The sequence below is a fragment of the Homo sapiens genome, chromosome 11 (genome assembly GCF_000001405.40).
Source record: "Homo sapiens chromosome 11, GRCh38.p14 Primary Assembly".
NCBI lineage: Eukaryota > Metazoa > Chordata > Mammalia > Primates > Hominidae > Homo > Homo sapiens.
The window spans coordinates 66,142,328-66,159,664 of NC_000011.10; the positions used below are offsets into that span (position 1 = coordinate 66,142,328).

General features: G+C 41.3%; 1 protein-coding gene and 1 non-coding gene across 4 annotated transcripts in view; both read left to right on the forward strand.

The window, feature by feature from the left end:
- PACS1 (phosphofurin acidic cluster sorting protein 1) overlaps positions 1-17,337 on the forward strand; it is a 174,473-nt gene that overhangs the window by 72,056 nt on the left and 85,080 nt on the right. The window lies entirely within an intron of this gene.
- Positions 10,294-10,398, forward strand: LOC124902833 (small nucleolar RNA U13). Its single transcript, XR_007063018.1, has one exon. It is a non-coding gene; the product is annotated as a small nucleolar RNA U13 (small nucleolar RNA).

The window sequence follows — 17,337 nt, forward strand, 5'->3', positions numbered from 1 at the left end:
TTTTTGGGTGAGACAAGGTCTCACACTGTCGCCCAGGCTGGAGTGCAATGCCGCAATCTCGGCTCACTGCAACCGCCACCTGATCCTCACGCCTGATCCTTCTGAGTAGCTGGGACCATGGGCACTTGCCACCACGCCCAGCTAATTTTTTGTATTTTTTAGTAGGGATGGGGTTTCGCCATGGTGCCCAGGCTGGTCTTGAACTCCTGAGCTCAGGCAATCCTCCCACCTTGGCCTCCCAAGGTGCTGGGACTACAGGCGTGAGGCACTGCGTCTGGCTTATCAGCATTTTATTAAAAAAAAAAAAAAAAAAAGAGGAAGGAGATAATTACGTTGAAACCTGATAGTTAGAACTTTCAATTTAAGCTGAATGGGAGTGGGGCTCCTGAAAAAGAAGGTTTGTGACCAGCATGGGCAATGTCTCTACTAAGAGAAAAAAAAAGAGGGAAGAAGGTTCAACCTGCTGCCATTTAACACTGCTTCTCCCAGGAGAGCAGCCCTGTGAGGCTTGGGTTTCTCTGAATGATGTCTTGGGTTTCAACATTGTCCCCTTACTTGTTAGCCACTTTCATGGAAAAAACCCGCAATCCATGAATATTTGTCATCTCGCATGCCATTACTGGTCAAACAAAATGAATCACAAGCTGGGGCTTGAATAGAAATTCCATTATTTACAGACAGGTCAGATTAATCTATCTAGGAGGGACAGTGAAAGAGGCTATTTTTCCTGATGGTACTTTTTAAACTGCAGTAAGGTGGTGCTGTTAATGAAAATGCCAAAGAGAAAGAGTGATTTCCTTCCTAAGCAGTATTAGATTATAGTGTTGTCAGGAGTCTTGCAATTGAATTACCTTTTTGTAATCAATTCCGCCTTATCAGTTAACTCTACTTGTAATGGACTGCTGGCTTCAAGAGACTGAGTCTGGATTATTTAAAACTTCTTGCTGTAAAGGAGACATCACCTGTAGCATCTCCCCTTCCCCAGGTGGAGCATCCCCTGTTGGAGCACTTTGGAGGCTGCAGTGTTATGAGCTCTGCCCTGTCTGGGAAGGGTTCTGGAACAGGTCTGAAGCCCTCAGAGCAAAGGCTCATTTGTCTGCTTGATGCCAACGTGCTGTGGGTTCTCCAGAGGCTGGGGCTGGTTGCTTCTGAGTCCTTGTTAGTATTGTTACCGCACTTCCCATTCGCATCTGCCTGTCATGTTCTACCACTAACCCCCAGGAAGAAATGAATGGGAAATTTAGTTTGCCATGATTTTTGCCCTGATTTAACATACGGTACTTAGTTTGGGAAGCCATTTGCTGTTGAAGACCTTCTTTCTTGTTTTTTTAAGACAGAGTCTTACTCTGTTGCCCAGGCTGGAGTGCAGTGGCACAATCTCGGCTCATTGCAACCTCTGCCTCCTGGGTTCAGGCGATCTTCATGTCTCAGCCTCCCAAGAACCTGGGTTTACAGGCTCACACCACCATGCCTGGCTAATTATTGTATTTTTAGTAGAAATGGGGTTTTGCTATGTTGGCCAGGCTGGTTTCCAACTCCTGACCTCAAGTGATCTGCCCGCCTTGGCCTCCCAAAGTGCTGAGATTACAGAGGTGAACCACTGCACCTGGCCCCTGTTGAAGACTTTTGTGAAACAAAGCATTTTTTAAAGTTTCTTAAGTAATATTGGAATTAACTTAGAGTGGACTGTGTGAAGTAAATGTGTTGTCACAAACTTAACGGTGTCAACATGGTAACAATATTGAAAAATGCTTTTAATTTTGTGAGATGCGTATTCATAGAACTAAGAGTCAGAAGTTCTTGAACCTTGATTCCTGTTTGCCTCTTACTGATAATGGACTATATTTAGCCTTTTCTTGGGTTGGGTCCTTATCAAAGAATGAGAAGACTAACTAATAGTAACAATAATATGTGTTTGCTGTATGACAAGAGCTAGCCAGGTGATTTGCAGTTTTAGTAGGGTAAGGTACAGCACTATGAACCATTTCTATAACAAAAAGGAAATGTATCATGTCAAAAGAGTAAACAAAGTTTTTTAGAGAAGAGGAAAACAAATCTTGAATTTGTTATTTGTACAAATATACATAGAAGGCTATCAGGGCTGTCTGAGTTTTCTTTCATGTGTGAGAATGAAGGTAAAACTTGCTCCAGGTGCTTAGATAAGACTTGAAGGAAACACAGGCATTTATTTGGTTTATTGTTAGATCAATATAGAGTTGTACGGCAATCTTTTACATTTTCCACTCTCAAGACCTAGAAATGCATGGTATAATAGCTTAGAAAGACAACTGGTGTGAAGTATGTTCATTATTCTTTTTTTTCTTTGAGATGGATCTCGCTCTGTGGCCGAGGGTGGAGTGCAGTGGCACAATCTCGGCTCGCTGCAACCTCTGCCTCCCGGGTTCAAGCAATTCTCTTGCCTTGGCCTCCCAAGTAGCTGAGATTACAGGCATGCACCACGACGCCCAGCTAATTTTTTGTATTTTTAGTAGAGATAGGGTTTCACCATGTTGGCCAGGCTGGTCTCGAACTCCTGACCTCAGGTGATCCACCCACTTTGGCCTCCCAAAGTGCTGGGATCACAGATGTGAGCCATCACGCCAGGCCTGTTCATTATTCTTGATGATCTCACATTTGACTTACAGTGCACTTTTATGTCATGTGATGAGGTGATACGTTTGAAGATGAAAGAGGGCATTTAAAAGTAGCTGAGGACAGAATCAGAACTTTAGTAGTTACAGTGAGGAAGTCAAAATCTCTCCCCACAAAACAACAATAATACCAGACAAAATTGTTAAAAGCAACTGTTTCAGGGCTCTAGAAATGGAATAAATGCAAGAAAGAAATGGAGAAGCATTTATCCAAGAGAAACTGCCAAACTTCAGGTAAGAACAATGGGAGTCTTTGACTCCTTGCCTAAATGGTAGGGGGTTACTCCCATCCCTTCCTGCCATTGGTGTGGTAATTCTGTTAGGGTACAGCAGGCCGTGAAAACTAACAGCTTGGCTGCCAGAGGTAATGCGCTTGATTTGGAGCAGGTGAAAAGCCCCTGTCCGGTGGCATTGACAGTGAAAGTAATGACCCTCAGTAGCAAGAGAACAAGGAAGGCCAACAGTTCTGGTAGTGAGAGAGCTATCCCAAGTGGGTCAAGCAACAGACTGGCAAACTAGCCCAAAACTTAATTAACAGAGATCCTGGAAATGAGACAGTTACAGAGGGGTCTGAAGGGCTGTCCACACATTTCTGGCTGACTTAGAAGCCTCTGCACACATGCAGGTAAAACTAGAGAGATCCCATGGTACCCATTTGTCCCTGGTTGGCTGGGAATCTGCATGAACGTATGAAGGAAATGTGACAGGGCTGATCCGAAAGGAAAAGTGGGATAGACCTGAAAACTGCTTGAACTTTTGCTCCCTAACCCTGCACAGACCCATGGGCAGAGGTTGGAAGCCTAGTAGGCTCAAGAGATGCAAACACAACCTGTAACCAATCATTGCCTGATCACTAAGCTGTGTGTCAGCAAGTCAGGCTTAAAAATAAAAACAAGAATTTGAAAAGAAAAACTGGAAAAAAGAAGAAAAGAAACTGAGTAGAGACATCAAATAGCCACACATCACAGGGGAGACAGATTTTGTAGATTTAGTCAGGGCAAATTACTAAAGAAATAACACACGTGAAAAATTACAGTTGAGAGTTGCTACAATATATTATCTAAAACATCTAGTTTTTTAAAATTATGATTATGTCTGTAATTTATTATGGTTATGTCTGTAAGGAATGGCTACAGAAAACAAACAGAAAAACAAACACTAATGGGACAAAAAAAACAGGAAAGGGTGGTTCATATTCAGGGAAGATAATCAGTCAATAGAAACTGTCTCTGAGAGAGCCTAGATGTTAGGTTTAGTAAACAAAGACTTCAACACAGCTATTATACATGTGTTCAGGAAATACAGGAAACTATGCATGTCATGTTTAAATATTTAAAGAAATGTATGATGACAGTGACTCAATAAATCTCAATAAAACAGAAACTGTAAAAAAGAACCAAATGCAAATTCTGGAGATGAAAAATACAGTAACTAAAATTAAAAATTCACTACAGGAATTCAACAGCAGATTTGAGACACAGAAGAAAGAATCAGTGAACTTAAAGATAGATCAATAGAAACTGCCAATCTGAAGAACCTGAGAGAAAAAAATGAACAGAGCCTCAGAGATCTGTGGGACAACATCAGGCATACCAACACACATGTCACAGACTCCTACAAGGAAAGGAGAAGAAAGGGCAGAAAAAAAATGTATGAAGTAACAGCCAGAAACTTCCTACATTTGATGAAAATCATGAATCTATGAAAACTTCAAATCGGATAAATATTAAGGGATCCACACCTAGGCATATCCTGGTCAAATAATTGACAGGCAAAGACAAAAAGAGGCTGGGTGTAGTGGCTCACGCCTGTAACCCCAGCACCCCAGCACTTTGGGAGGCTGAGGTGGGCAGATCACTTGAGGTCAGGAGTTCGAGACCAGCCTGGCCAACATGGTGAAACCCCCGTCTCTACTAAAAAATACAAAAATTAGCTAGGCATGATGGCACATGCCTGTAATCCCAGCTACTCAGGAGGCTGAGGCAGGAGAATCGCTTGAACCTGGAAAGTGGAGCTTGCAGTGAGCCGACATCATGCCTGCCACTGCACTCCAGCTTGGGCGACCAAGTAAGACACTGTCTAAAAACAGACAAAGACAAAAAGAATAAGAATGTCTTGAAAGCAGCAAGAAAAAGATAACTCCTCAAGTTTTTTATTGTAACAGTATGAATGTTTGCTGACTTCTCAGCAGAAACAGTGTAGGGTAGAAGGCAATGGAATGACATATTCAAAGTACTGAAAGAAAAAACGAAACAAAACAAAATTTTTATATCTAGCAAAAGTATTCTTCAAAAATGAAGGCAAAATAAAGACATTCCTAGATAAACAAAGACTAGGAATTGCTTGCTACGAGATCTACCTGAAAGAAGTTTTTTTGACTGAGAGGAAAATTCTACCAATGGACAGTAATTTAGATCCACAAGACTAAAGGAAGAACACCAAAATTGCCAAATATTTGGGTAAATGTAAGATAATATATAAAAATAGCTGAGGCTTAAAGTAGTAAAGAACATTCTCCTGGTAAGAGGAAAATGATAACAATGGAAACTTGAGTCAATTTAAAGGAATAAAGAATGCTAAAAATAGTAAGTATGTAGGTAAACATAAGAAATTTTCTAATGTTGTAATTTTTCTAAATGGTAATTGACAGTAAAAAGCAAAAATAATAACAATGTATTATGGAGTTAAAACATGTAGAATAGAGAGTAAAGGGGTGATTCCTGGAGGCTGGGAAGGTTAGGGGGTAGTGGGAGGGAAGTGGGTTAGTTAATTGGTACAAAAAGAAAGAATGAATAAGAGCTAGTATTTGCTAGCACAACAGTGTGACTGTAATCAGAAATAATTGTGATATAAAAATAACTAATTATTGTCTGTGACACAAATGATAAATGCTTAAGATGATGGATACCCCATTTACCCTGATGTGATTATTAGGTATTGCATGCCTATATCAAAGCATCTCAAATAACCTATAAATATATACACCTTCTATATACCCACAAAAATTAAAAATAAATTTTTAAAATTTAGAAATGAAATATACGGCCATAATAACAAAAGACATAAGGAAAAAAAAATACCTGAGACTCTCTTGTAGTTTGTTGAGTGTAATTGGCATAATCCTTTTGAAAGCTAGTTGGGCAGTAGCCATTAAAAATGTACTTTTTAAAAATTAATTATTATTATTATTTTTTGAGACAGAGTCTCACTCTATTGCCCAGGCTAGAGTGCAGTGGTGTGATCACAGCTTACTGCAGCCTTGACCTCCTGGGCTCAAGTGATCCTCTCAGCTTAGCTTCCCAGGTAGCTGGGACTACAGGCACACACCAGCATGCCTGGCTAATTTTTGTATTTTTTATAGAGATGGGTGTCTCGTGAGGCTGTACTCACACTCCAGGCCTCAAATGATCCTCTTGCCTCGGCCTCCCAGAGTGCTGGCATTACAGGTGTGAGCACCATGCCTGGCCTGCCATTAAAAATTTAAATGTTTAGTCCTTTTGACTTAGCACTTTCAGTTTTAAGAACACATATCATAGAAACACTACAATAACTTTGTAATAACTAAGAACTATAAAAAAGTCAAATGCCCATCAGAAAGGGACTGATTAAGTAAGTAGTATATTTATTTTGACTAACTATTATAACCATTAAAAGGAATGAAGTCAGGCCGGGTGCGGTGGCTCACGCCTGTAATCTCAGCACTTTGGGAGGCCAAGGAGGGCGGATCACTTGAGGTCAGGAGTTCAAGACCAGCCTGGCCAACATGGTGAAACCCCTTCTCTACTAAAAATACAAAAATTAGCTGGGCATGTTGGCGTGCATCTGTTATCCCAGCTACTTGGGAGGCTGAGGTGTGAGAATTGCTTGAACCAGGGAGGTGGAGGTTGCAGTGAGCCGAGATTGCACCACTGCACTTCAGCCCAGGTGACAGAGTGAGGCTCCATCTCAAAACAAAACAAAACAAAAAAGAATGAAGTCACTATATATGTTTTAACATGGAAAGGTGTCCACTTAACAGCTGCTAAATGTGATGCATTTGGTCGAAAAGAGATTGAGCAGCACAGAAGTATATGCTCAAAGGTATGTGTGAGCATGTGCACATGCACACGCACTTTTTTTTTTTTTTTTTTTTTTGAGATAGAGTCTCCCTCTGTCACCCATTCTGGAGTGTAATGGTGTGATCTTGGCTCATTGCAACCTCTGCCTCCTGGATTCAAGCAAGTCTGCCTCAGCCTCCCGAGTAGCTGGGATTACAGGCGTGCGCCACCACACATGACTAATTTTTGTATTTTTAGTAGAGACAGGTTTTCACCACGTTGGTCAGGCTGGTCTCGAACCCCTGACCTCAGGTGATGCGCCTGCCTCGGCCTCCCAAAGTGCTGGGATTACAGGTGTGAGCCACCATCCCCAGCCAACACGCACTTTTTTTTCTTCAGCCTTTTAATAGTGATCTTCTCTGGCGATTTATAGGATTGTTCCACTTTATTATATATTTCCAAAATAAGAGGTTTTTTTCCTACTGTGTGTTTCTACTTTTTCTACTTTTCAAACTATTACTTTAAAAACAAATATTTTATAAACATACACATTTTAAAAAGTAGCTCATAGCATAACATTAACTTTGTATTTGAAATTGTGAGATGAAATCAAGTACCCGGTCTATAAACAGCACTTTCTACATCCATTCCACATCTTGTGTTCGTGTGTGTGTGTGTGTGTGTGTGTGTGTTTTACATGTCTGTTCAGTACATTATAAGATCTTTGGGGGGCAAAACTGATCTTTTTTTTGAGACGGAGTTTCGCTCTTGTTGCCCAGACTGGAGTGCAGTGGCATGATCTCGGCTCACTGCAACCTCTGCCTCCCAGGTTCAAGCAATTCTCCTGCCTCAGCCTCCTGAGTAGCTGGGATTACAGGCATGCACCACCACACCTGGCTAATTTTGTATTTTTAGTAGAGATGGGGTTTCTCCATGTTAGTCAGGCTGGTCTCGAACTTGCCACCTCAGGCGATCCACCCGTCTCGGCCTCCCAAAGTGCTGGGATTACAGGCTTGAGCCACCACGCTCGGCCAAAACTGATCTTATTCATATTTGTTCAATTTCTCCCCCACATCCCCTCTCTCTATTCCTATCATATAGTGCTTTGCACATAACAGACCATCTGTGAATATTTATACTTTATTAAAGACATATAAAATAGTAATTATTCTCTACAGCAATTGGAATCCAATACAGTAATCTATATACAGTTATTTGATCCACTGACATACGTTCTTTCTCTTTCTCCCAAAAATAACCATTGAGACTAACAAAACCAAAACAAAACCGAAACAAAGAGCTCTAGCTTTTCCCATCTTCTCCAGTTACTAAATGTAGAACAGACTGGGTTTTGCTGACTTCTAGGCAGGAAACAGATTCTATTTCTAGGAACAGAATTCCTATATCTAACTGAGCTATTCTTTTTCTTTTATGTTGTTTCCTTTTCACTAAAATAGAAAAAAAAAAGAAACATTTTAAGCCTTTCTACCTTTGCTATATGACTTTATCACATGCAACATTTGGAATATTTGATCTAATAAATTTCTAAAGACAATTAGGACTTTGCCACTGAAGTGTTATTGTTCATTACTTGAAAACGTGTTACTTTTAAATGTTTTGTTTATAGCACTATGCCTTTAAAAGTAAGGTGTTATATTTAAAAATCCAAAAAGTAAATTACTTTCTGTTGGATTAGAGGAAATTTCCATTAAGGGAGATTGAAGTGGTTGCATAAACCCTCCTACAGATAACAATTGAAAGATCTGGGTAAAATATAAGAAACAACTAAAAGCATCCAAAAGCTGTCCCTAGAACCTGAGGAGAATTGACTCCTGAAACACTATAATAGAAGGAGCAAGAATTGCAAGTTTGTGACTTTTTTGCCAGAGGTTATGCATCAGTACCCATGGTGGTTTCAGTAGAAAGAAATGATAGTGGAAAGCTGCAGCCTTACAGATGAGAGGTGCCAAAGAAGAGAAGTCAGGGATGGAAGACAAGCTGGAAAGTTCAGGGGGGAATCCTGGAAACAAGAGAGGACTACAGAAAGGGGGAGGCCCCACATCTGAGTGAAAACTGCCCAAATTCCTGGTTGACTATTAAACTCTAAATGTATAGTGAAATCCCAGGGAGCCCAGCAAGACAAAAACAAAAATAAAAACCAGCCAACCAATGAAACAAAGCAAGCAGGCAGAGGCTAGAGAGGAATCTACCCTTAAAAGACAGACCTATACTAGATGAGATCTGTGAGGTTCATGCTTTTTAAAACAGTATATCCCTAAACTGTGAGCAGCGAAGCAGTGGAAAGCTGAAGCCTTACTGGCTTGGGGTTCAGAGGAAAGACCCTAATATTGCCCAAGCAGCTGAAAACTTAGGAGGAAATCACAAGAACACAAAAGTCACAGAGTGTGAGCCCCTAAATCTGAGTATGATCAGCCTAAATCCCTGGCTGTCTGCCAGATTACACAGAAGCATGGGAGACCCCAGGGAGCTAGGCTAGACGTTGTAAGAGCTGAGCAGAGATAGCAGCTGCTTCATACGACAGGAGAGACAGTTCGCAGTTTGAATCCAGGCAAGTTAACTGCCTACTAGAATATAAAAAGAGAAAGTTCTCAGAAGAACACAGTAGAATCCAGAGTTGCTATAACATCTTATCTACAATGCCAAGTTTTCAATCTACAATTACTAGACATGTAAATAAAATGGAAAGTCTAACTCATACTCAGGAAGAAAAGCAGTCAGTAGAGACTGACTCTGAGCATCTAAGTGGGTACAGTGTTGGATTTTGCAGGCAGACTGCAAAGCCACTGTGCTATGATCAAAGAATTAAAGGAAAAATAAGTGAACAGATAGAGAAATTGTAACAAAGAAATGGAAAGTGAAAAAATGGAAGTTGTAGAGCTCAAATAAGTAATAGCTGAAATAAAAACTCACTGGAGGCCGGGTGCAGTGGCTTACACCTATAATCCCACAACTTTGGGAGGTCAAGGCAGCAGGATCACTTGAGCTCAGGAGTTTGAGACCAGCCCGGGCAACATAGTGAGACCCCACCTCTACAAAGCAATTTTAAAATGAGCCAGGCATGATGGTATGTGCCTGTAGTGCCAGCTACTTGGGAGGCTGAGGTGGGAGGATCGTTTGAGCCCAAGAGATCGAGGCTGCAGTGAGCTGTGATCGTGCCACTGCACTCCAGCCTGGCTGACAACATGTCTCAAAAGAAAAAAAAAGTTCACTAGATGTGCTCAACAGCAGTTTTGAAATGACAGAGAAAAGAATCTGTGCCGTTGAAGATAGATCAATAGAAATTATCCCATCCAATGAAGAGAGGAGCAAAGATTGAAGAAAAGTGAGTAGAGCCTCAGAGACTTGTAGGACGATATCAGGTAGCCTAACATAAGTGTACTTGGAGTCTTAGAAAGGGAAGAGAAAAATAGGCAAAAAACAATATTTGAAGAAATAATATCCCCAAACTTCTTAAATATGGTAGAAAACACTATAGATTCAAGAAGTTCAGTGGAGTCTGAGCACAAAGGAAAAGCACTCATAGGCATATCATAGTCAAATTGCTGAAACCAAAGATAAAAAGAAAATCTTAAAAGCAGATAGAGATCCTTTTGCAGCTCATGAGTGTGACGATTGGGTGTTCATGCATGTGTGTGAGGTGTGCCACCCTCTGAACCTTGTTACAACATCAGCACATTACGTCTCTGAACTTGCATGGGGAGGGGAAGCAGGTAGAGAAAAGTGACACATTACATAAAAGGGATCAGTGTTACAAATGTGACTGACTTTTCATCAGAAATGAAGGAGGCCAGAAGACACTGGAACAGTATAGTCAAATACTGAGAGAAAAACCCTGTCAACCAAGAATCCAGTATCCAGAGAAACACATTTTCAAAAATGAGGGCTAAAGACATTTTCAGAAAAACAAAAATTGAGAGAATTCATCACCAGCAGACTTCCACTAAAAGAAGTTTTCAGAATGAAGGGAAATGATACCAGGTGGTAACTCATCTACAGGAAGAAATAAAGGGCATTGGAAATAGTAAATATGTAGGTAAATATAAAAGACTATGATTTTTTTCCTTCTCTAATTTCTTTAAGATACATATGTGTTTTTTTTTGAGATGGGGGTCTCACTATGTTGCCCAGGCTTGAGTGTGTTGGCTATTCACAAGGACAATTATGGTGCACTATAGCCTTGAACTCCTGGGCTCAAGCTATCATCCTGCTTCAGCCTCCTGAGTAGCAGAGACTACAGGCATGTGCCACTGTGCCTGCTGGTGACATAAGAAACAAGATTTTAAAGATTTTATAACACTCTAGTGCTGGGTTTATAATGTACATATAGGTTGGTCACAGTGGCTCACACCTGTAATCTCAGCCCTTTGGGAGGCCAAGGTGGGAGGATTGCTTGAGCCCAGAAGTTTGAGGCCAGCTTGGGCAACATGGTGAGACCTTTTCTCTACCTAAAAAATAAAAAACCTGGCCAGGCGCGGTGGCTCACGCCTGTAATCCCAGCACTTTGGGAGGCTCAGGTGGGCGGATCACGAAATTGGGAGATCGAGACCATCCTGGCTAACACGGTGAAACCCCGTCTCTACCAAAAATACAAAAAAATTGCCCGGCATGGTGGTGGGCACCTGTAGTCCCAGCTACTCTGGGGGCTGAGGCAGGAGAATGGCGTGAACCCGGGAGACGGAGCTTGCAGTGAGCCGAGATGGTGCCACTGCACTCCAGCCTGGGTGACAGAGCGAGACTGTCTCAAAACAAACAAACAAAAAAAACCTTTTAAACATAATATGTATATAGGTGTAATTATGACAACAGTAGCACTAAGATGGGGCAGGGCAAATGGAAATTTACTGTTGTAAGATTTGTACATTTTACCTGCTTAGAAGAGACACACTTTAAACACAGAGACACAGGTTAAAAGTGAAAGGATGGAAAAAGATTATACCATGAAAAGAATACACATAAGAAAGCTGAAGTGGCGATATTAACATCAAATGAAATAAATTTTAAGATGAGGAATATTGCTAGAGATTAAGGATACTTTATAATGATAAAAGGGTCAGTATCTTACAGAGCTATAAAAATCTTCAATGTGTATGTCCCTGATAACAGAGCTTCAAAATACTGAACCAGGTGCAGTGGCTCACGTCAGTAATCCCAGTGCTTTGGGAGTCCAAGGCAAGAGTATTGCTTGAGGCCAGGAATTCAAGACCAGCCTGGGCAACATAGTGAGATCCCATCTCTGCAAAAAAGTTTTAAAAATTAGCTTATTGTAGTGGTGCACACCTGTAGTCCTAGCTGCTCTAGAGGCTGAGGCAGGAGAATTGCTTGAGCCTGGGAATTCAAGGCTGCAGTGAGCTATGATAGCACCACTGCCCTCCAGCCTGGGCAACAGAGTGAGACCCTGTCTCTAAAAAATAAAAATAGAGAGGCTACTAGGACTGGTAAGTGAGTTTAGCGAGATACAGTAGGATCTCACTACTGTAAGAATACAAGGTCAGTATATCAAGAAAACCATTTATGTTTTGGTCAGAATACCAAAATAACAGATAACTGGAAAAAAAATTTTAAGTATAGTATTCCACTTGCCATATCATCCAAATACATGAAGTACTAGGGATAAATTTAACAAAATGTATGTAAAACTTACATACTGAAAACTACAAAATATTAGTATAAATAGGCTCGTGGATTGGAAATCTCAGTATCATAAACATAATCAATTTTCTACAAATTCATCTGTAGATTCAATACATTCTCAATCAAAATTTCTGCGTATTTTTGTTGTAGAAATTGAAAAGCTGGTTCTAGAATGTGTATGGAATGCAAAGTACTTAAAACTGGCAAAGCCAGCAAAAATTGAGGACTGACTTCTACAGCACCGCAAGGCTGTGATACTGGCAAAATAATAGACATGTACATAAATGAGAAGATGGAATCCAGAAAGAGATCCACACGTAAATAGACAATTGATTTGCAGCAAAGGTCCTGAGGCAATTCAATGGGGAAAGGAACATCTTTTCAACACATGGTACAGCAGCAACTAAATATCTGTGTGGAAGAAAACAAACATTAACCCATACCTTATACACTGCCCAGAAAGCTCAAAACGGACCAAAGTCCTAAACGAGTTAAAACTATAAAGCTTCTGGAAAAATTATAGGGGAAAACGTTCATGTGACTTCTGGGTGTGAAAAGATTTTCTAAGTAGGATACAAAAAGCACATACCATAAAATAAATGAATGCTAAATTGGACTTTATCAAAATTGAAATGTGCTTTTTCAGAAAGGAATGAAGAAAATGTACAATATGGGATAAAATGTTTACAATAGATAAATCTGACAAAGGATTGTAAAGAACTCTTACAGTTCAGTAATAGTAACCCCATTTTTTAAATGCACAAAAGATTTCAAAGTATACTTCACAAGGTAAGATAAAACAGTGGCCAGGAGCTACATAAAATACTTCATATTATTAATTATCAGAGAAAAGCAATTTCCAGCCATAATGAACTACCGCTCTTTACCCTCTACGTATGGCTAAAATTTAAGAGACTGATAGCTCCAGGTGTTGGCAAGGATGTGGCACAAGCAGAACTTTCATATCCTCTGTTGAGAATGTAAAGTAGTACTAGTTTAGAGAACAGTAGTTTGTTTTAAAGTTAAACAACAGTTACTCAAGGATACAGTAATTCCATGCCTAGATATTTATCTGAGAGGAATGAAAACGCAGAGGCTTCTCCATGAGTGTTTGTAGCAGCGTATTCATGACGGCCAAAGGCTGGAAACAATCCGGGGGCTCATCAGGTGAATGGATGAACAAACTGTGCTGTCCCAGTCCAATGAGAGCTCTGAGCAGGAAAAAGGAGCTCTAGACAGCATGGATCTGGCTCAAAAACATGCTTTGTGAAAGAAGCCAGACCCAGAGGTGTACATGCTGTATATTTATATAAAAGTCTCAAAGGTGCAAACCAGTGGATAGTGACAATAAAATAAAGGAGTGATTGCCTGGGGCTTGGGTGGAGGGAAGATTGCAAAGAGGCGTAAAGGAACTTTCAAGGGTGATGGAAATGCTCAGTGTCTTTATTGTGGGGGTGTTTCCACTGGTATATTGTATGTAAATTTTGTTTATTGTCTGTAAATTATATCCTCCACAAAGTTGTTTCATTTTTTAAATTATATATATATATATATATATATATATATATATATATATATATATATATAGTTTTTTTTTTTTTAAGACAGAGTCTTGCTCTGTCCCCCAGGCTGGAGTGCAGTGGTGTGTGATCTCGGCTCACTGCAACTTCTGCCCCCCGGGTTCAAGCCATTCTCCTGCTTTCCGCAGCTGGGATTACAGGCATGTACCACCACGCCCAGCTAATTTTTGTGTTTTTAGTAGAGATGGGGTTTCACCATGTTGGCCAGGCTGGTCTTGAACTCCTGGCCTTAAGTGATCCATCCGTCTTGGCCTCTCAAAGTGCTGGGATTGCAGGCGTGAGCCACTGCACCTGGCCTAAAGTTGTTTTTTAAAAAAATCTTTCCGGCTGGGCATGGTGGCTCATGTCTGTAATCCCAGCACTTTGGGAGGCCGAGGCAGGCGGATCACAAGGTCAGGAGATCGAGACCATCCTGGCTAACACGGTGAAACCCTGTTTCTACTAAAGATACAAAAAATTACCCGGGCGTGGTGGTGGGCACCTATAATCCCAGCTACTCGGGAGGCTGAGGCAGGAGAATGGCGTGAACCTGGGAGGCGGAGCTTGCGCGAGCCGAGATGGCGCCACTGCACTCCAGCCTGGGCGACAGAGCGAGACTCTGTCTCGAAAAAAAAAAAAAAATCTTTCCATGGTTTAATAAAGGCAGCTATTCAGTATTCACTCTCTAGGTGATGATTATACTTTAGGTTGTTTATTCTCTTTCCCAGAACCTCTTTCTTGTTCAGGTATCAGATTCTTCTTTGTGGTGATGTTCTTCTAGGAAGAATGTTCTGACCCCAAGTTCTGGTCATTTTGCTTTGTTTGATAATTTTGTCTCCCCTCAATTACGTAGGATGGTACATGTTACCAAGTTGTGACCAATGACAAATGAACAGATGTCTTCAGGGTCAGGAGAGACTTTTAGAAAAGATGGAGAAATGAGATGGATTATATTTCCTCCCTCCCCAACCCCACTAAAATGACAGTAAAGGAATTTTCTTTTAAAAAAGTTACAAATCTATAAGGATGAAGAGATTGGGAGAGGAGATCACAGTGGGCCAGAATTTTTCCCTACAAAATTTTGAAAACTGAAATGTAGGTGCATATATGATGAGTCATTTAGGTTTCAACTTCATCTGCTCCACTAAGTATTTGCAGTGGAGGAAGCTAACAGGAAGCAATCCTGTTTTCAGCCACATGTGGGCCATGTTCTGAGATAAGTTTTAGGTACCTGTGAATATAGGATATACACTGGGGCTGAAAACAGGAAAATGAGTTGAAAGTCTGAATGTGGAAGAGTTAGCACCCCAGATCCCCATCCCCAAAGAATATGTGTGTCAAAGTCTAACCTGGGGAAACCCTGTTATAAATGAGGGTGGGAGGCAGGTTTCTTACCCAAAATAGTAGATCAAGTTGAAGTCTGCATATTCAGCCAGATCTTTCCACCTACCTTCCTGTCTTGGCTGTGGGACTTGTTATCACAGACACCATCTCTGCCCACCAAGACATTGAAAGACCTCAGAGCAACTGACCCATCCTTGGCTCCTAGAATACTCATTTATAAGCCCCTCAGCCAGGACATTATCACATTTCTGTCTGGGGAAATTGACTAGCCTATGGGAAAAAAAAAAAACCTAACATGGTATTTAGAATTTCCTTATCCCATCACATGCTGTGAGGTCCCACAGGAAGCAAGCGGTGCTTATCCACATAGAATTTCTAGTTAGCTCTTTAGCACCTCTTTTGTTTTTTGAGACAGGGTCTGGCTCTGTTGCCCAGGCTGGAGTGCAGTGGCATGATCACAGTCTTGGCTCACTGCAGCCTCCTTCCCCTGGACTCAAGTGATCTTCTCACCTCAGCCTCCCGAGTAACTGAGACTACAGATACGCGCCACCACACTTGGCTAATTTTTTTGTATTTTTTGTAGAGACAAGGTTTTGCCATGTTGCCCAGACTAGTCTCGAGCTCCTGAGCTCAAGTGATCCACTGGCTTTGGCTTCCCAAAGTGCTGGGACTACACGTGTGAGCCACTGTGCCCGGCCTGCACTTTGAAAAACAAATTCCTTAGAGATAAGATGTTACATCAAGGAAACAAGAGCAGGATGCCATGTAAAGGAACTATTCAAGAATGTTCTTGAGAATTGAAAAATCTCACTAAGTGAAGATTGCAGTAAAGCAGTTGGAAGATAGGCCGGGCGTGGTGGCTTACAACTGTAATTCCAACACTTTGGGAGGCCAGTGTTGATGGCTCACTTGAGACCAGGACTTTAAGACCAGCCTGTGCAATATGGTGATGATACCCTGTCTCTACAAAAACAGAAAAAACTAACTGGGTATGGTGGGGCACACCCCTAGTTCTAAGTACTTGGGTGGCTGAGGTGGGAGTATTGCGTGAGCCCAGGAGTTCTAGGCTGCAGTGAGCTATGACCACACCACCACACTCCAACCTGGGTGGCAGAGAGAGTAAAGTAAAGCAGTTGGTCAAAGATAATAGACAATAAGTGGAAGAAAAAAGAAAATTAAAGGACATCTAGGAGGTCCAACATCTGACTATTGGAGTTCTAGAAAGATGAAGGACAAGGCATTATTTAAAAAGCAACACAAGAGGTTTTCCCCAAAAATGTCTCAGATGGATAAGAGCTCACCCAGTGTCCAGAATGAAAAAAGTGATGAAAAAGACCCTCAACAGAGTACATTGTCATGAAATTTTGTGACACTGATGACAAATTTTAAAAGCATCAGAGAGAAAAGTCACATAAAAATGATCTAAAACAAGTGACATTAGACCAGTTAACAATAGCACTGGGATCTATAAGATAATAGATGAATGCCATCTAAAGCCTGATGGAAAAATTTTCAGTCTATAATTCTACACCTAGTCAAACTGTCAAATCAAGAGTGAAAAATGTTTTCAGAAATGCAGGGTCTCGGCCGGGCGTGGTGGCTCACGCCTATAATCCCAGCACTTTGGGAGGCCAAGGCAGGTGGATCACCTGAAGTCGGGAGTTCGAGACCAGCCTGACCAACATGGGGAAACCCCATCTCTACTAAAAATACAAAATTAGCTGGGCGTGGTGGCACATGCCTGTAATCCCAGATACTCAGGAAGCTGAGGCAGGAGAATCACTTGAACCCGGGAGACGGAGGTTGCCGTGACCCAAGATCACGCCATTGCCCTCCAGCCTGGGCAACAAGAGCAAAACTCAGTCTCAAAAAAAAAAAAGAAATATTGAGTCAAAGAGTATGTGCATATGCAAGGTGGGGAGACATTACCAAACTGCCCTCCATAGGGGTGTGCCAGTTACATTCCCACAAGCTAGGTACCAGTGCCTGCTTCCCCACAGCCTGGCCAAGAGATTGTCGTAGGTTTTTCAGTTTTGGGGGTGGGGGAGCGGGTGGTATTTGCTGATCTGGTAAATGTAGGATGGCAGCTGTTTA